Source organism: Homo sapiens, chromosome 1 (genome assembly GCF_000001405.40).
Source record: "Homo sapiens chromosome 1, GRCh38.p14 Primary Assembly".
NCBI lineage: Eukaryota > Metazoa > Chordata > Mammalia > Primates > Hominidae > Homo > Homo sapiens.
Window position 1 is genome coordinate 76,010,192 of NC_000001.11, and position 21,222 is coordinate 76,031,413.

The 21,222-nt window shown below is 38.4% G+C and overlaps 1 long non-coding RNA gene across 1 annotated transcript; it reads left to right on the top strand.

Moving 5' to 3' along the window:
* Positions 1–1,132: 1,132 nt before the first annotated feature.
* LOC101927342 (uncharacterized) lies at positions 1,133–9,165 on the top strand. Its single transcript, NR_125939.1, has 3 exons — positions 1,133–1,207; positions 3,069–3,139; positions 8,943–9,165. It is a non-coding gene; the product is annotated as an uncharacterized LOC101927342 (long non-coding RNA).
* The last annotated feature ends 12,057 nt before the right edge of the window (positions 9,166–21,222 follow it).

Sequence of the window (21,222 nt, forward strand, 5' to 3'; positions counted from 1 at the left end):
AGCAATGCACATGATAAGGAAGTTCATTTTAAAAAGGTTGTCCTGATTGCAATATTCAGAATGGATTATAGTGGGATACAAGTGGATGCAACAAAACAGATTTGGGGAAAGTAACTTCAGTCTAAGTTGATTAGAGTATATGTGATTAGGGTGGTTAACAGTGGTTAGATTCCCAATACAGTTTGGAGTTCAAATTATCAGGGCTTATTTTGACCTATTAAAATTCTCCTAGAAGGTATGCACTTTACAGAAGTTACACTGAAGTGAAGGCTGATACTTGACTGGTCAGGCTATAATCTAACACTGTGGTTCTCAAATTTCTTGGTTCCAAGACTATACTCAAATATTATTGAAGATCCCAGAGAGTTTTTTTTTATGTGGATTAGATCTACTGATAAATATATATTTTTAACATATTGGTTGATTCATTTAAAACCAACAATAATAAACTTAATAAACCAATTATATGTTAACAGAAATAACATAATTTTGTGAAAACTATTTTTTAAAACAAAAACATTAGTGAACATAATGGTATTGCTTTACAGTTTTGCTAATTTCTTTAATATCAGAAGACAGCTGGATTCTCATTTCTGCTTCTGCATTCAGTCTATTGTGATATAGCATATCATGTAACTTCTGAAAAACTTCACTGTACACAGGTAAGATAATTTTAAATCAAGTTTAGACTAAAGCTGCCTCCTTATATATTTTAAGTTCAGCCTAAAGGTTTCTCTGTACGTCGTGAACTATCACCTAAATGGAATTGTAAACAGACTGTGGCCTACTGTTGTGCCAATCACTGAGTTTTGGCCAATCAAATGTGGCCAACTGTCCAAATGAGGCAAATGCTGAGTTGTAACCAACTCAGCTGTTTCTGCACCTCATGTCCGTTTTCTGTAGGTCACTTTCCTTTTTCCATCCATTCATCTTCCTCCATGTGGCTATGCTGGAGTCTCCAAGCCTACTCTAGGTTGGGACACTGCCTGATTCACGAATTGTTCTTTCTCAATTAAACTCTTTTAAATTTAACTTGGCTAAATTTTTTTTAAAACAAGAATGAGGGTAAAAAAGATCAATAACATATTAGTATTACTATTTTTAGATGCTGACCTCACAGACTCCCTGAAAGGATCTCCATGACCTCTATGGTTCCTTAGACTGCACTTTGAGAACTATTGACGTACAGGGAAAAATGCTCTTGGTGGTAAGATTACAACTCTATATAAAAGAGATAAAAGCATCAGTCCCATGAATTAGCATGATAAAACCATTATAAAATGTCTTTATCACTTGTAATCACCAATGCTCTATAGAAAACCCGACCACAATTTAAAGATTGTTTTACATTAGGGGTCCATAACCTTTTAATTCCGAAAACACTAAGGGGTAAGCATGAAACAGCAAAGATTCTGACATAGGAGAACAAAGCAAGGAAAAAAAAAAAGAAAAAGAAACAGGCCGGGCAAGGTGGCTCGTGCCTGTAATCCCAGCACTTTGGGAGGTCAGGAGTTCGAGACCAGCCTGGCCAACATGATGAAACCCTGTCTCTACTAAAAATACGAAAATTAGCCAGGCATGATGGTGCATGTAATCCCAGCTACTCAGGAGGCTGAGGCAGGAGAATTGCTTGAACCTTGGAAGAGGAGTTTGCGGTGAGCCGAGATAGTACCACTGCACTCCAGCCTGGGTGACAGTCCAAGACTCTGTCTCAAAAAAAAAATTAATAAAAGAAACAGAAACAGACTTATAGACCAATGATAAAGAGGTGACAAAAGAGAAAGAGAAAGAATTTCTGTTGCGGGAGTGGGAGACTAATGATAAAAATTGCCTTTGGATGGCTCAGTGGTTCTCATGTTCATTAGCCATTCTGATCTAACAAGTCAGCTTTGCTCAGGCAGCCTGGTTCTGAACTGTGTGCCCTAAGGCCTTCCCCACAGAGGGGGGCCCAAGGAGGAGACACCATACATCTGAAGCCATATGTTGGTCTAACATTACTCCATAGGTTGCAAAAATAATCTCCACCTAAGCTTTTCCATCTCCAATGCCAACACTTCATTTCTCCAAGTGAAATTCTGGCTTTAATACTATATGTGTCATAAAATCCACCGCAGGTGAGTGTGACTGAATATAAAATAACCCAGTGCCCCATTTGCCTGGATCAGAAATCCAGGGAGTATACTCAGACAACCCCAGGAGTGAGGGAAAAGGGAGAAACTTTATCCTCTCCAAACTAAGCATCAAGCAAAACTCAGCTTGTCTTTCCAGAAAACACAATGGTTTGGTACATGACATTCAACAGCAAAACTCTACTAACACTCAACTTTTGCCAAAAGGAGCCACAGGAATCCACAACATCCTTACGTGGCCTTAAATATCAAAGTAATGTGTAAGATATCAGAATACGTCTTAATGAGCCAGGCACAAGTTTCCAAAGAAGTTCTGCTGAGTTTTACTCAGTCTTATAGAACACAAGCCCAGCTGCTGCTAAAAGTAAGGCAGCTTGAAATTTCTGTGCTGGGTGAAAGGTGGCCATAATGTCAGTGGTCTGCTTATTCCCCTTGTGGGAATGGGACTTGGTACTCTGCTATGCATCTGACACCATTGAGAAAGGTTATTTGAGCCCAGTGGGGCTGGTAGCAAAAGTCTAAATGCCTACCAGCTTACAGCTAGAACATATGTACCCCCATTGGATTGTCATAGTGTTGTGTACAATGTACCTGTTTTTTTAATCTCCAAAACTTCCTCTTTTTCTTTCTCTTTTTAAAAATGCAAATGAGAATGGCACTGGCATCTCAGGGTTTTAAAGAGCAGAGAATGCCTATTGTGCAGTGATGTGTGACTGAATCCAGCAAGGAGGTTAGAGACACATTGTCAGGAGCTAGCTGCAAATCCATGGGCTTAAGAAGGCCATGACTTATTTACAACTTCTTATTTGCCACTGGTGTCATTTGAGTTTTTATGGGTTTTAATAAAGAGTAATATACATATATTGTTCTCTTTTGGAAAACAATCATGTCTGAAATGTTCCTGAGATTCTTGTAACAGTTATCACTTTGTTTTTGCAGTTCCAGTTAAGCACAGAATAAAATCTGGACTGTGTCAGTTTGTAAAGATCTTATGTCTACTTGGTCATCAGGTAAAATTCCTTTCTGTGTTGTGAAAAGAGGCAGACTGAAGTCATTAGTCACTGCCAATGTTGTATCAGTTCTTGCTGGTTTACTCTCATAGCACTGGAGACATTAATAAAATGGGCTGCCAAGGCCCCTTACAGGCAAACTTGTAAAGTAGGAAGCAATTCTCTTTGGTTGATTCCTTCTCAAAGGCAGTGGGTGTTGTAGCATCAGTGAAAAGAATTAAGATCATTGGCTTTGCAATCAGAGATATCTATGATTAGATTCCGTTTCTTCGGAATTGGTTCAACAAATATTTAGTAAGTGCCTACTAAGTTCTGGCCTCTTTTCCAGGCATTGAGATGCAATAGTGGGAAGAAAACAAACATGGGTGCCTGTCTGCTAGTTGGGGAGGCAGCCACTAGCATCCCGGTGACAGGCTTAAGGCTCAGCCTTATGCTGAGCAGTTTTTTACCTTTCAGCTGCAAACCTTCCTTTCTGTACAGTACTACATGGGACTGGCCTAGGACTCTTTCTCTTTTGCCCACTGGCTTCCTGTAAGGGTCTATGTATCAGTCTGTCTGCATGCTGCTGATAAAGATATACCCAAGACGGGGCAATTTATGAAAGAAAGAGGTTTATTGGACTTACTGTTCCACATGGCTGGGGAGGCCTAAAGGTCATGGCAGAAGGCAAGGGGGAGCAAGTCACATCTTACGTGGATGGCAGCAGGCAGAGAGCTTGTGCAGGGAAACTCCTGTTTCTAAAACCATCAGATCTTGTGAGACCCATTCACTATCACAAGAACAGCATGGAAAAGACCCAGCCGCATGATTCAATCATCTCCCACAACAGGTGGGAATTATGGGAACTACAAGATGAAATTTGGGTGGGGACACAGAGCCAAACCACATCAGTCTGCAAATAGGGATGCTAGAGAGAGACTAGCATCTAGTGGGAGAAGGGGCTTTCTTCTTGTTTTTTTGTTGTTCCTCTCAGCATCATCCCAACAGTGACCTTGGCCTGACAGCAGCAGTTGGTTCCAGTCTCCAGCCTCTTTTGAAAACCTGAGAGCCAGCCTGTTGGTATGTTCTCAGAAGTAATGGCAACAGCTAGGTCATGCTCCTCTTCAGAGGTCTGAGCCCCAGCTCTTTCTCAGAGCTTCTGGGCTGTGATTATTCCAACCTCTTCCCTGAACAGCAGCTGCTCCTGCTGTTGTACATCAGAGTTACCCCGGCGAGCCCTGTTGTCTATTCAGCCCTCCACCATCTGGAAAACCAAGTCCCTATAGTAGATTTTATGTTAAAATGCTTCATGCGGTTTTTGTTTTCTTGACAGGATCCCTATATACTCATACCATACAAGCTTATCTTAAGATATTTGAGATTTGTAACAAGTATGCTGGGGAATAGTCAACTGGTTATGAAGCACATCATCTTGATACATTCACCATTTTCAATAACGAAAAGAGAGCAAGAGAGTACATGTATGTAGTTACATATTTCGTATAATTTCAAAGAGAGGAAGGTAAAAATGTCCGTGCTTACTTTCAACAGATCATCATGACCTTTTTGTGAAACTGAAACATATCAGAGGTAGCTTTTCTTACACATTTGTTTAGACCTATAAAAGAAATAATTTCGTGACCTACCAAACCATAACTGGATAATATAAACCCATATTCTTCCAGTTTTGTTTATTGGGAACAAAGCTTCTGCTCATGGTCATTCTTCAACCTCTTTTCTGCAAATTCATTTTATTTCTATCATCTCCTTATATGATACATATTAATTTAACCTGAATATGTGTGGATTCTATTGTAAATAATGCATTTAACAACAATCAATAATGCACTCATATCCACTTTTAAGCCCTGCCCTTACTACTTCTTGATGTTAATTTCTAAGTATAGAATACGCTTTTCCCGAAATGCAATCTAGCTTGTAATGTGCTGGATTTTGAAGAGCCAACTTTATTTAAATAGGATCAGTGACTCCCTCTCAGATATTGATATGCAATTCCAATTCTGTCAGATTCATAATTATACACTTAATAATCTTCTACTATGAAATGGAAGTAGCAATCTGTATATCTGGCTAGCTATCTACCTATTTAAATATCAAGCCTGTCTGTCTGTCTATTTACCATGCCCTTTTAAAGTTGCTTTAATATGTTCTAATAGATGGAAGTCTGGCAAGAAGATATAGGTCTTTGTTCACAGACAATAGGAAAAAGCCTAAAATGTTTAAGTTCAGTTTCACTTAATTTTAAAGATGCACAAACAAGGTGCCTCTAAGTGAAAGACTAGAATGAGTTTAATTAAGAATTAAATATCCGCTGATGAGTCTTTGTACAGATTTTACAAGTTGCTATAGTTCCCAAGAACTAAAAAGTGAATCACTATAATGACTCAGTAACATACCCTTTTATAAGTCAGATTTTCCAATTTCTTGTTAGTTTTTGATTGAAGAGGACTTCTTTAAATTGTCAGATGAAAGATCATGAAAAAATAATCATTGATGATAGATCACTGTGTGATTTTTGGCATCTAACTCAGGAGATAAAAAACTGGTAACTCAGAACTCTTCATTTCCATCAGATGATTACTCAGCACTTATATGCATTAAAAGATGGTAATAAGGATTGAACTGATGTTGAATCCTGTTTTGTTTCAGCATTAAATAATATTCATCCAAGATTACCTTAACTGAGAAAGAAATATATTGCATTCAGAAGTGGATTTCCAATAGCATTTTACTTTTTCTGTACAATAATTACATTTCAAAATTTGAAACATACTTATATTTATTTAATCAACCATGTACAACTAATAATTGTAACAATAACAGTACAGAAAAATAATTTAATACTTACAGCTTCATGTTTACAAAACAAAAAACTTTTTTCTTGTAATTTTCAGTTTCAAAATATATTTATAGCAGAGAAATATGGTAGGGCTATCAATAAAATATTTCCAAGCATAACATCATATTACATTAGGGCAAAATTATGTGAAGGAGGTGAAATGAAAAAACCTCACAAAGAGGCAAAATATTGGGTAAAATGTCCAGTCATCAAAGAGCATGGTCATTGATATTGTTTGCCTCTGTGTCTCCACCCAAATCTCATCTCGAATTGTAATCTCCACATATCAAGGGAGGAACCTAGTGGTGATTGGATCATGGGGGCAGATTTCCCCCCTTGCGGATCTTGAGATAGTGAGTGAGTTCGCACAAGATCTGGTTGTTTGATAAATGTCTGACACCTCCACCTTCTCACTCTCTCTCTCCTGCCCCCTTTAAAGAAGGTGCTTGCTTCTCCTTTGCCTCCCACCATGACTGTAAGTTTCCTGAGGCCTCCCCAGCAATGCAGAACTGTGAGTCAATTAAACATCTTTTATTTATAAAGTACCCAGTCACAGGTAGTATCTTTATAGCAGTGTGAAAACGGACCAATATAGTCATGTATCTTTTAAATAGATGATGATGTGTATAAAAACACTATGGCATTTAGATTTCATTGCATTTATTTAAAATTGTAATGAAACACTTGATATTGCCGGACACGGTGGCTCAAGCCTGTAATCCCAGCACTTTGGGAGGCTGAGGCAGGCAGATCACGAGGTCAGGAGTTCGAGACCAACCTGATCAACATGATGAAACCCCGTCTCTACTAACAATACAAAAATTAGCCAGGTGTGTTAGCATGTGCCTGTGGTTCCAGCTACTCAGGAGGCTGAGGCAGGAGAATCACTTGAACCTGGGAGGCAGAGGTTACAGTGAGCCGAGATTGTGCCACTGCACTTCAGCCTCGGTGACAGAGCAAGACTCTGTCTCAAAAAAAAAAAAAAAGAAAGAAAGAATTGATATTTATAAGTATTTGTAATATGCTGAAATTATGTCTTTGCAACTACTTAAACTAATAGTGAAGTGTTTTAGGTAACAGCCTAAGGATATGTACAGGAGTATCTAGTCTTTCATACTTATTTTAGGGGACAGAAGTAAGAAAATTTGAAGACCTCTGGCATACAGAGACCAGCAAATAGCCAGTTTAGAATACGTAATTCAGGGTTTCTTAATGGTGAATGCCGTCTCTGCATCAGTGAAGAGATTCCGCGTTCAGCATCAGAGGATATTTTACAAGATTCTCTAGTGTTCTTGGACACAGGACACCATTTCTTAAAGACTGATCACTGCATAATAATAACAATTATAAAACTGCATTCAGCAGCCGGGTACAGTGGCTTATGTCCATAATCCCAGCACTTTGGGTGGCCATGGTGGGAGAATCACTTGAGACCAGAAGTTTGAGACTAGCCTGGGCCACAAAGCAAGATCCTATCTCTCTCAAAAGAAGAAAGAAAACCATTGCATTTAGTATCGTTCTTAAACATACATTGAGGAAAAGGTTTTAGAACTAAAATATTGGGATTCCGTTTTTAATATCAGACACTATTTTTTCCTATGCACTGTAGTATCACATGGATTATCCTCTTAGTATACTATTTTAGTGTAAATCATTTGTATGTCTCTTACAGTTTGCTTAGCACATAGAAGACAACTAATAAATGTTGATTTTAATTAAAATTCAGTAAGATAGAGGCCATTCGGTCCTTTATGGGTTTTTTTTTTTTTTTTTTTTTTTTTTTTGAGACAAGGTCTCGCTCTAATACCAAGCCTGAAGTACAGTGGTACAATCATGGCTCACTGCAGCCTCGACCTCCTAGGTTCAAGAGATCCTCCCGCCTTGGCCTCCCAAAGTGCTGGGATTTCAGGTGTGAGTCACCATGCCCAGCTTAGTCCTTTATGTTTCAAAAAAGTACAGCTTCAACTTCAATAAACAAATTTAACTTTAGATAAGTAGAGAGAACTGGTGCTTCATTCCATAACTACCACAGCTTAGATAACATCTCCAACCCAGCCATGTTTCACTGGCCAATGGGGAAACACTGGTTACCTGTCACTTTTAATTATATGCTAGGACTGAAAGGTCACAGACACTTATTTTTGAATAGGACTTTTCAAGTCTGCAGAGGTTATTAGTTGCCGAACCCTACAACTTACAAACTCCTGACTCTGTAGGTTCCTGCCTGAATCTGTTGCCTCTAGACATAACTACAGATTGTAAAAACCATGATTATTCTGGGCAGATATAAAGCTCTTTGCATTGCACACAACAGCAGTGGAAAAAACAAAATTAATCTTGCAGATGTTATTGAAATGTAAATGTCAAATATTCTCAATTGGGTATGAGCATTCACAAACTTGTCTTCAGGCACCAGGGGTGCTCAGAGCACTTGAAAAGGAAAATCTCAACTTTGAAGACAAAAGCAAAGATGCAAGCAGTTTCCTCATGTTCTCTGTTTGCAAATGTGCTTAGCATGGACTCTGTCAAATCCTTGTTCACAAAACCCAATTTGAGTCATTCTATTTAAATAAGCTGTTAGTGTCCTCTCTCTTACTTTCTACAAAAAAGCGACTATATCAACTATATCGTTGAAACTGCTGTTATGCAAGATTTTCTCCATTTCCTGCCTCCAGCCTCACAAGCTTTTGCCCTAAAATTGATTCCAAAAGGCAGCCAGGAAACATACCCATGGAAAGGGTGTTCCATGCCAATCCAGCCTTCCTGAAAAGCAAGCAGTCTCTTTGCTTCTGCAATTTCACATGATCATACCATAAATAGTCTGCGATCCATGCTAGTATGCTTTTCATTTACATTTTACAAGGTTGGCAAGGCCACTCTCAAAATAATTTCACCAACCAGGTGACATGTCAAGGTGTCTCTTAGTTGTATATCTAAAGTTAATTCTATATTTTCTTAAAACAGCCAAGAAGGGATTCCGAAGATAGAAGAGGAGGCATCAACACCGTGAACATCATGGCTGAGTTATTTTGTGAGAGGGATAAGCCTAAAGTAAAAACCTTGGATTTGCCTCTGTCCTTGAACATGCTATCTGGAAAGAGTTTTCTTAAAAGTATTGTTGTGAACACATCCATTTTCCCAGTATAGTTGAATGCAGGGTTTAATAAATGGAATGAATCTAGTTTTAGTTCCTGTACTGCTTGTGCTTTCAATAACCTCTATATTTGAATAACACATTTCAGTAGATATGTTTGTTAGCGTTGAACTTGTAAGTTGACGAAGAAAGGGTAGTACTACCAACCCTGAGAGGATAAAGAGAATTCTATGTGTTTTACAAACATATATTTATCATTTTGAATTTATATATAGTCAAGGATGCAACTCCTCCCTCAATTTATATAAGCTCTTGTTGGTTTCTACAGGCATCCCTCCCTGTAAATATTTTATTAGCGGAGTCAGAGCATTCACATACATTCTCACTAAGAATGGATTTTAAAGTCAGAAGTTCAGAACCATTAGCAAGTCTTCTTGCAATGCTGCAAAGTAATGGAAATCCTTAGACTCAGCCAGTTTGGTCTTGTTTAGTGAGGGGATGCACTGAGTAACCCCATCTTCAGGTACCAGTTAGATAACAGTAAGATGTATTCCTGAGGGTCCCCATCGAAGTTGCACCCCGCCCCATCAGGAGAATCAATCATGACCACAGCCCCTTGACACTCACGATCTTGGCTACATCGAGGCTCCAGCAGCAAACAGTTTAAAAGCTGCTCATCTGCCATGATGAGTTTTGAGGTGCTTGGAACTTCTCAGAAAAGAGATATATTATGGGCATTGATCATTGCATCAGTGAAGAGCACGTGGCTGCAGAGGTCAGAACAGTTAATAGTCTGCTTTGTTAAGAGGGGAAGGGATAATAAATTAGAGAGCACTTAATATTGGCACCACTGAAGACAGTATGGGAACTGATAGGTCTGAGTGAGGGAAAATCTTGTGCCACTACTAACAAACCTCCTAAACCCTTAAGCTCCCTTCAGAGATTATTGTTTTCCTCTTAGGTCTTGCCTGAACCCTGGCTGCACCCCCAGTACAAGTCCCTCCCTCAGACCTGTTGAGTGGAGCTATTATTCTTCCATAATGTGCACAGTACAGGTGGAAAGTTGGGGTGAGTGTTTATTAGTGTTCTCAGGTGCTCACTGTCACTTCACACAGGCCTGCATTTACCCTGTGTAAAACTCATACCTTTGGGAGGTTGATCCCACTAAGCTATACCATGGTATACTTGGTACACTGTTGCTTATGGAGCCCTAATGTCATTCTATTTCATGGAAGTCTCTAGCTTTCACTATCACTCTCCATTCCAACTACTGCCATAATTGTAGGATATTTCAGGATCCTGGAGGATAGGGTGAGATTAGAAACCTCACAATTTCCCTGGACTTTCTTAATTTATTGCATTTCAATCACCTAGGATGAGACCTATAGGTTCTCCTTTACCTCTTCCTCTCTATATTAAGCCCTACCTAATTCTTGATTCTAGAATCCATCCCTACCACCATGCCCTAGTTCAGAATCTTGTGTCTCTCCACTTCCTGATATCTTCATCTAATCTCTTTTCTGTGTAACCACCAATGTGATATATTTTATTTAAACATTGCCATGTCAGCTGGACATGGTGGCTCACACCTGTAATCCCAGCACTTTGGGAAGCCAAAGTGGACGGATCACTTGAGGTCAGAAGTTCGGGACCAGCCTGGCCAACACGGTGAAACCCCGTATCTACTAAAAAATTACAAAAATTAGCTGGGCTTGGTTGTGCATGCCTGTAGCCCTAGCTACTGAGGACTGAGGCTGAGGGAGGAGAATTGCTTAAACCCAGGAGGCAGAGGCTGCAGTGAGCTGTGATTGTGCCACTATACTCCAGCCTGAATAAATATAGCCATGTCAATTCTTTATTTAAATACTTTACTTGCATTTTCTATCAATTTTGTACCAGGTGGTATTCAGGATACTTACCATGACATAGCTCCATAAGTTAACCCCATCAGCCACTTCCCGCTTATCTTTCCAGTTCATCTTTCCATGCTCACCACTCTCTGTCTTAGACTTTGTGGACAGCAAGATTGAATGGCTTGTAGCTCCCTGTACATACCATTCTATGCCTTGCTTCCATGCTTTTACTCACACTCTTCCCTGTACCTGGACTGCCCTTCCATTCTTCCCATTCTACCTTAATGTACCCCTTAGGACCTGCTATGTGATATTCAGTGGGAAGGCTTCTCACACCCCATGAGTTCAGTAATCTTCCTTCAAGCTCCCAAATTAATCTGGGCACCTTTCCAGCAGTGTACTCATTACTTTCTATCCACTCATTCATTGGAATCGTCTGCTTATGTTTATCTTTCCTTATCTAGACTTAAATTATAAGTTCCTTGAAGTCTTAGAAGGTATTTTATTCAAATTCCTATTTCAATACTTGGCACAAAGTGGTTATAAGTGAAAAATAATGATAAAAACAGAGACAAAATAATGAGATCCCCCTATACACAAGGCATTTAATAGGCATTTACATATCATATATCATTTAATCCTCACCACAGCTAGAAAAGCTGTTTACTGTTATGCCCATTTACATCAAGGCAACTCAGATACAGAGAGATGGAACACCTTGTCCAAGGTCACCTGGCCAGTGAATGTCAGAATTAGGATTTGAATCCCATTTATTTGACTTCAGATCACACATTCTGTTTACCACAACCACATGTGAAGGTCGTCCTGAAAGGATGCTCTGCTTTCTGAATCATAACGAGTTGGAGAGGAATGAAAGCTGCTGATAAAGTTAGCACATTAAGTGTCTAGCTGGTCACCACACTCCAGGGCAAGTGCAGTATTTCATCATTGCCTGCATTTCTACATCCTTCACCCATGACAGTCCTGTGGTCATGGACATTCGAAGATATTTAATAGATAGACTTACTAGAAAATGTAACTGACTTATAGGGCAAAGAATGGCATAAAGAACACGCCATTCAGATTTTGGTTACATAAGTAAATTGAAGACATTACAGAAAAGGAGCACCCATAGACACTGTTTTACTTAGAGTTTTTTTTCCCAGTGCTTCATGGATTTACTTACGTGCAGAATTCTTAAATATGAAATTAAAGTTATCGACATAATTAACAAGTTTAGCATAGTTACAAACTTTATTTTGAAGAGAATATAAATATATAGAGTCAGAGATATTCCAGAAAATAGAGAAAATGTAGGTGTTATATCTTAAGAACCACCACGGTGTAGTTACAATAAGTATGCATAGATGAAAGCTAGGCATATTTCAAAACAAAATTTCTGTGACTTAAATTAGCATCTGTCATTATGACAGCTGCAAACCATCCCCAAAGAGTCTCATCTTTATGTGGGGTTCAAGCCAGCCCATTAGTCAACATTAGATCAAAATCCCTCTCCATGATGCTGGTAAATGGATGTCATCTAATAGAAATGCAACAAATATTTATTGAAAACCTGTTGTAAGACCTGAGCTAGGCTTTGTGGAGGATATGAAGATAGCACATCTCTCCCTTAAGACTCTTACAAAACAGTCACAGATTAAAAGTTAAATCAGAATACAAGCTGTTACATTGAAAGTGGTCACACAGACAGTGGCTATTACCAGCTCCCCTTACCTTGGTTGATATTTCCTCATGGCACTGTTTCCTGAAGTTGTAATATATAAATATATTTGTAGATGTGTGTATACATACATTATCTGTTACTTAGTGATGGGGATGCATTCTGAGAAATATATCATTACCAATGTTGTCATTGTGGAAACATCGTAGAGTGGACTCACACAAATCTAGATGGCACCTAGGCTACACACCTAGGCTATATGGCATAGCCTATTGCTCTGCTCCTAGTGTACAAACCTGTACAGCATGTTACTGAGCTTAATGCCATAGGCAACTGTAACACAATGGTAAGTACTTATGTACCTAAACATATCTAAAAATAGAAAAATTAAAATACAGTATTATAATGTTATGTGACCACTGTCATATATGTGGTCCTTCATTAACCAAAATGTTATGTGTCGCATAACTGCACCTCTATCTATCTATCTATCTATTTGTCATCTATCTACAAATCCTTATGTATCTATTGATCTCTAACTCTGTATCTACATCTATCTATATCTATATATAATTTTCGTTGTTGCCCTAGTCTTCCCCACTAGAATTTTAAGTTTAGTAAGGGCAGGGACTTTGTCTGTCTTGATCACCATTGTATTCACAGCAACTACAATTCCTGGCACATAGTAGATGTTCAGTAAATATTTGTTGAATGAATGAGTGAATTTGGAGAAGAGAGAAATTACTATAAACAGAACTAATTAAAGAGCAGGGGGCATTTCATTTAGTTCTTGATAAATGAAGATTATCTGGATAAAGGCAGGGAGCTATTTCAGGATGGACATTTAACAAGAGCAAAGGTGAGCTGCAGATAGACCTTCTTAGCTGGAAAGTATGTTTTCTGTTGTACATTATTTAGCCATAGGATTGGTTGGACCAAGTAAGGAGTGTTCTCTAGAGTGTAGGCACTAGACCTGTCTGAGAGACTAAGTTACTCAGGTCAAAACAATTTCTGTTTCCCCAAGTTTGTGGCAGTCTGTCTGTGCTTGTAATTGTGGTTTCTTACCACTACCTAGGACTGCATGTTCATTTCCTTGCCTGTAGCAAAGGCCTGTAACAAGGTCTGTTTTGAGCAGGCTGTCAGCACTGATGGGCTAAAATGTCAGCTAACCTGAAAATGACACCTCTTCACCAGTGTGTTTTGCAGAAAAATCCTTCAGAGAAAGGGCACTGGCTCTTTCAGTGTGTTTTAATTTTTATAATTTCCCCCCATATGCTAGAAGTTTTATCTATCTTGATTTTGCTCTCAAAGCACCCACAAAGATTGATAATCAGCAACTGAAACCTCAAAACCCCATACATATCTTATCAATCCTCTAGATATGTCTGCATGAAGACTCAGATGTGTGCCGGGCTGGGTGACATTGTCAGAGGTCATCCTCAGCAGGGATTAAGTTTGTATATCTCCACTTGAAATTCTAACTGGGTGATCCAAGTATTCTTATCTCAACTTGGAACACATGTAGAAGCTATAACATTATTAATTTGCTGAACTTTTAAACATTCCTCTTTGCTCTTGGAGTTTTATCAAATCTGCTTTGTGGCTCAAATTTTTGCTTCAAGTTTTAAAAATGAGCAGCAGGAAGCCTTTACATTTTACTTATAAAGATAACATTAAGATGGCCAACATATATTAGGGCTTTGGTTAATTTTTAAAATTAACCAAAATGTTGATTGTTTGAATGGACCCTGTTATTTGAATGGAATCTTCTAGGGATCCCCAGTATATAAAACAGATCAGAAGAGAATTGCTGTGGTTAGAGAAGGAGGCTCAGAGCACCCTGGGCTAGGTTTCTGCTCGTTTTCCTCCTACCCCACCCCTGTAGCAGGCAACATTCTTGAACTCCGCCGAACACAACTTTAGAACCAGGGAATTAAGATGACACAAAAGCCAGGCACGGTGACTCATGCCTGTAATCCCAGCACTTTGGGAGGCCGAGGCAGGCAGATCACTTGAGGTCAGAAGTTGTAGACCAGCCTGGCCAACATGCAAAACCCCTGTCTTCTAAAAATACAAAAATTAGCCAGGCATGGTGGCATGTGCCTGTAATCCCAGCTTCTCTGGAGGCTGAGGCAGGAGAATCACTTGAACCCAGGAGGCGGAGGTTGTAGTGAGTGGAGATCGCACCACTGCACTACAGCCTGGGTGACAGAGTGAAACTTTGTCTTAAAAAAAAAAAACGACCCAAAAGAACTTTCAATTGTGTCACCATGAAGACCATAAAAATAGTCATTCATCCAGGGTTCACTCTGTAGTGTCATTACCTCAACTGCACTCTTAACTCCTGACAAATTATGCTACCAATAGTACGTTTATTCTTCTGAAAAATTCTCACTTCATATGTGCTGGGAATTTAAGGTAGAAAAGTATAGCCTGTATCGTATTCTAGATAAACATAAAGTATCCTGTCAACAATATAAATGATTCTTGTGAGAAATGGAAACTTTCACTTGAAATATTATTTGTTTTGCCTAAACTCTTAACATTTCAGTCATTTAGTGTAAATCCATAGTCAGTACACAGAACAGGTGACAGATCTGAGTTTGGAAATGTTAACACCGCACTTTGAATCCCACCAGGAGCTCAATGATTTATAACCTTTGTTAATCTTCAGGAGCCTCCCCCACAAACCCTGTTGGTTAATAATGCTATTGCTACTCCTGCCCAGATGGTGCAATGTGGCTATGGAACTTGTTATAGGGAGATATAGTAGGTGCTCAATACATATTCAACTTATCACAGGCATGGGATAGGTCAGAAATTAGGTTTGGCTCTCACCCTTTGATCCTCTTTAAGAGACATGCTCTTTTCATGTCACCTACAAATAAAAAGTAGCCAGTGTTGCCTGCTGTTAATTGGATTTATAATCATAAACTGTCATGTAAAAACATTTATTTAAAATAATTGTATAAGAATATACCAAGATATCATATAATTAATTAAATTTAGCAAAGAGTAACCTCTATGTTGTGAGGGGGGCCATAGGTTAAAAGGGTATACAAGGTTACCCACTAGATGAGAGAAGAAGATATTAGAACATATTTAACTTTTATAGCATCTTACAATTTTTCTATTTTTGTATCTTTTGTAATATACATGTTATTGTAGCATCACAAGTACATATTAATAACTTATGAGCCCATACATTTATGTTTGAAAGATTTTACTAATAGTCTATGAGAACCACTTCATGTGGCTCTCACTGCACAAAAATGAGTTCCCCATTTTATTGCTCAGTAGTATAGATGAATACAGAGCCAAAGAGAGTGTCAGAGGGATAGAATGAAGACTGGCACCCAAGAGGCCTGTGTTTAAATCCCGGCTTGACCAGTTGCCACCCTGGTCATCTAGGACAAGTTTGCATCTCTGAATATCAATTTCCTCATCCATGAAAAAGGGATAAAAATGTCATTATTTTACATTCGGTAATTTATTTACAGTGTATACTAGAGTATTTGACACAATAAATAGTATCTATTATCATTTGTGAAATTCACTATTCAATTTGTCCTCCAATTTGTCACATTTTCAGCTGTCAGTAAAACACGGTTACGTTAAAAACATAAATAATGTCTAGTCCCTTGGGATGCAAAGAGGTCCAGATTTTCTCGTTCTTTTCAACTCCTTAGCTGTGAAGGCTACATCCTGCACTTATTAATCTGTGTATTGAGGGGGGCGGACCCTTGATTCTTGTCTTTGATAAGCTCTGCTCAGCCATGGCTGGATTAATGCATGTCCACATCCACATTACAGGATTCAGTAAGAAAAGAAAGTCAGCTCACACTGTGTGGTTAAAGATAATGGAAATGTGCTTATTAGAAGTCTTCCAGAGAGAAAATTTCTTAATTACTTGCTTTTGATCAAAATGAGGGTAAACAGAAGCAATTCTGAAGCAAGACTTGTTATTGTGTTTTTCTGAACACAGTACGCAAGTCTGACAATTAGGAAGCAGTTTTCTGCAGTTCTTTCACATTTGTTTGAGTCTCACAGAGTTTGCAACCAAACTAATAAAGAAGGGAGCCATCTCACATAGTTTTTAGAAGAAAGTGATACATAATTATGGAGTTTACCAAGAACAAATCTCATCAGAGCAGCTTAATTTTTTTATAAAAATGAGTTACTTGTCCAGTTGGTCTATAGACTGCGATAGACACAATGTGTGTGATTTCAGAAAAGCATTTGCAGGATATATCACAGCAATTTTATAGTCAACATGAGAAATGTGATCCTGACCATGCCAGGATTAGGTAGGTAAGATTGTAACCCAGTCCATATAGGACATGGAGTGATTAGGTTAGTAACGCTTTGAATGATTGTTTGAGGGGGATGGTTAATGATGTAATTTTTTGTGTGTGCAACAGGGAAATCCTAGTGATCCTATGGTTTTAGTGTTTAAAATATTCCTCAAATAACTACAGGTTTCAGAAAAACCTGGTTGCTTTAGAAAGAATGTAGCCATGGTAGAAAATGCAGTCAGACAATCTACACAAAAATGCATCTAGACCTCCAGTTCCAAAATGGCTGCATAAAAGCAAACTACCTTTACTCCCTGTAACAGAAAATTAAAAAGCAAATATACGGTGCCGAGATTATCAACAGCAGTATCCCAGAACGCATATATGAGAGGAGACAGTTCCTGGGACCATAGAGAAGTGAAACAACTTCCAGCACACAATAAGAGAATCAAACTTCCGTATCTGAGACATTGCTCTCCACAATCTGTCTGGCACAGATTATGAAAAATTTTCCCCAACTCACAGTTTCTACACTGGAAAGTGAGATTGAGGTTAACAACCAGCTTCCCTACCATCTTGGGTTTTCTGGAAAGAGACCTGTCCCTGCCTCAACCCACAGGAGGCATCAGGAGTTCTTGAAAGGAGCAATATCCCCGAGGACAAAGGGGAAAGGCCAATATCCCCAAGAAATATCCCTGAGGACAAAGGCGGCAGAGGCCGAAGACAAAGGGGGAAGATAGGACTACCATCCCCAGCCTTGGAAACTCTGCTCTGTAACTCAGCCAAAGGAGAAGCCAAATCAGAGTGGCTGTTCAGCAGCACCACACTGTAGATGGCTTTTTTCCATACATCCCTTGGGCATGAACCCTAGCCAGCCTTCCCACACTACTGGGATATCCCCTCTGAGACACCCACCATTTGAGATGAGTGGCACTCTGATTGTTTACTACAATCAAGACAAACCTGGGCTTAAGGCAACATCTAGTGCCAAGAAGGCAGTAACCTAGGGGAAAAGAAAGAAAACCAACAGATAAATTACAAAGAATCTCTAAGCAAACATATCCAATAAAAACCTAAACAAGCCAGACAGAGGACTGAAATAAAGAACAAATTATTCAATAGAAAGACATATTTATGTATGTCCATAAGAAACAACAGCAAATGGGAAACTATGACCTCCTCATATGGAGAAAGCAAGGAACCAGTGACTGACCCCAATGAGACTGTGATATGTTAACTCTCTGGCCAAGAATTCAAAATAGCAGTTTTAAGGAAACTCAGTGATCTCCAAGATAATGCAGAAAAGCAATTCAGAAATTTATCAGAGAGATTTAACATATATTAAAATAATAAAAAAGATCTAAAATAAACAAACAGTGGTGCATCCAAACAATGGTGCTAAAACATGCTAAAAGGAAATGAACTATCAAGCCATGAAAAGGTAAGGAGGAAGTTTAAAATGCATATTACTAAGTGAAAGAAGTCATTTTGAAAAGGTTACATACTATATGATTCCAACTGTATGACATTCTGGAAAAGGCAAAATTGTAGAGACAGTAAAAAGATCAGTGGTTTCCAGGGATTAGGTAGGAGGGAGGGATGAGTAGGTGGGGGCACAGAGGATTTTTAGGACAGTGACATTACTCTATGTGATGCTATAATGGTGGATACTTGTCATTGTACATTTATCCAAACTTTCAGAATGTACAACGCCAAGAGTGAAGCCTCCTGTAAGCTACGGACTTTGGTTGATAAGGATGTGTCAATGTAGGTTCATTAACTGTAACAAATGTACCACTCTCGTGGAGGATGTTGGTAATGGGTGAGGCTATGCATATGGGGATAGGAAGTAGATGGGAACTTTCCATACCTTCTGTTCAATTTTGCTGTAAATCTAAAACTGCCCTAAAATTAAACTGTATTAAAAATCAAAATAAACAAAACAAGAGCTCCAAAGCTACATCATCACACAATCACTTTGTTTGTAAGTATAGCAGTGGGTCAGATTCTTCCATAGTAATCAATTGATTAAAAATGTTTACTATGGTCAAAGCATGAGCAAAGACTATTACCATGTTTCTAATTAGTAATGAAAGTCTTGAAGAGTGGTGGGTTGGTAAGTGTTTAACAACTAGCTCTTTAGGAAAAAAAAACAACGTATGCATATAGATACCATAGAAATAAATAACCTCAAGTACATAGATAATAAGATAAATAATAATAAAATAAATAGGAAATTATGAGGTTTTTTTTTAGAAAATTTCTAATTTTTAGAAAAAAATTAGTTTTTTTTTGCCTTTTTCAAAAATACTTTTAAGCTTTTAAAATGTTTTATTTTGAAATAATTTTAGATTTACAGAGAGTTACAAGATGGTACAGAGTGTTTTCATATAACCCTCACCACCCAACTTCCTCTAACGTTAACTTATTACATAACCATGGTTATTTGTTAAAACTAGGAAATGAACATGGGTATAATATTGTTAAGTAATGTAAATACTGCATTTAGATTTCACCATTGTTTCCATTACTATCTTTTTTCTATATTCCAGAATCCCATTCAGGATGCCATGTTGTGTTTACTTATCAAGCCTCCTTAGTTTCCTTTGATCTATCAAAGTTTCTCAGGCTTTTCTTCTTTTTTCATGACCTTAGTTTTTAGTATAACTTATTAATTTTATGTGTATTTCTGAGTTGTTGGCTTTATAGGTTTATAATTTATTAAAGCAGTTACCCAAAGAGTGTGGTTTCATGGATCGATGTCATATGGATAGAAGTTACTAGGGATAAGCCCACAAGAATCTGTCATTGGTCTTTTCTCCTCAACAGTTTTACTAATGACTTAGAAAAATCTATTGCTGTCATGAAAGTCATATTAGCAAGTGATACAGATGGGGAAGTGTAACAAATATGTTGGATAATACTTCAGAACTATGGGGACCACAACATGATAGGCAAATCTAACAGTGTAAAGTATTACAGGGATGAATGTATCACCCAACAACTGTGTGCCAAAAAAAACCCTCTATTGCTGAGTCTAGAAAGATGTGATTTAAATGAAGTGCATGCTAAAAACATGCTTAGGGCTTTAAGATTTTTCATGTTCCTTTTGGGGACAGAATGGCTACCCAAGGGACTGGTAAGAGGTAACTTGAATGTCTGGGTTCCATTCAGGCGCATGATCTCTCCTCAATATGAGGGAGATAAAAATATTTTCAGGGACATACTAGTCCAAAGTTAGGTAGCTAGTCTAAAATGGTATGTGATAAGAATGATCTAATTTTCAAGGGAGTGTCCAGATTCATAAATAGCTGTTGCCTAGGGAGGTATGAAGAAGGACCTGGAAAGGTGAGGCCAGGTAGAACTCTCTGCCAATGATCAAGTAGCCACAGAGGCTTTGTATTAGGTTTCTGTAACCAAGGGCAAGGGTGTTCCTTGAGGTTAGAAGGTACCCTCTAGGTTAGGTAATGGGTAATTGCAAGTAGAATATGCACCCATGATGTCATTTTCCTGCCAAAAACCTATTTAGCTTGCTCTGCTTCCATAGAAATACAATGCCTATCCTAAAATACCTGATAGTTGTGTCTGTATTGATCAACTAAATTCAGAGTATTATGGTGAATAATTCTGGATACCAAAACCGTGGCCATTTTAAAGGGAGGTAGGGTGAGTGATTAGAGACTGAAAACAATGCCATGTGATAAGCATGTGAAAAATTGAAGAATGCTTAGCTTAGCAAAGAGAAGATATAGGGAAAGTAAGATGGCCATTTCTGAGTATATGAAAAGCTGTGTCATGTGGAAGCACAATTACACTCGGATAAATGAGTAGACACTACAGAAAAACAAATTTTAGCTCAAAATACAGAAGAGCTTTTAATTATTAGGGCTGTCCAAAAATGGATGAGGCTATCTCAGGCAGAAGTGTTCGAGTAGAAGAGAATAAACATTTGGTAGACATGCCATCTGGATGATTGATTTAGTTCTGCGATATCATGACATGTATTTCTAAATGTGACATAGTGCCTATCTAGCTGGCCGCTAGCGGAATAATATTAGTAAAACATAGAAGTTATGTTGGATCATTTTGGGCTCACATCAGCCCTTTAATCTTTTGCACTACTGAGCAGCCCTCACTGAATGTAACTTGCCCTCATGCTGCTGAAAACAGCCAGCCATATAGCACAATGCAGTATCCCATGTCTGTTCTGTCCAGGTTCATCTTAGCTTAGTTTGACCAGGTATTTTGACTTGGATGTGCTTGTGCAGTTTTTCCCAATATTTGTGGTTTTTAAAAACTCAGTACTTAACCTTTCTCACAC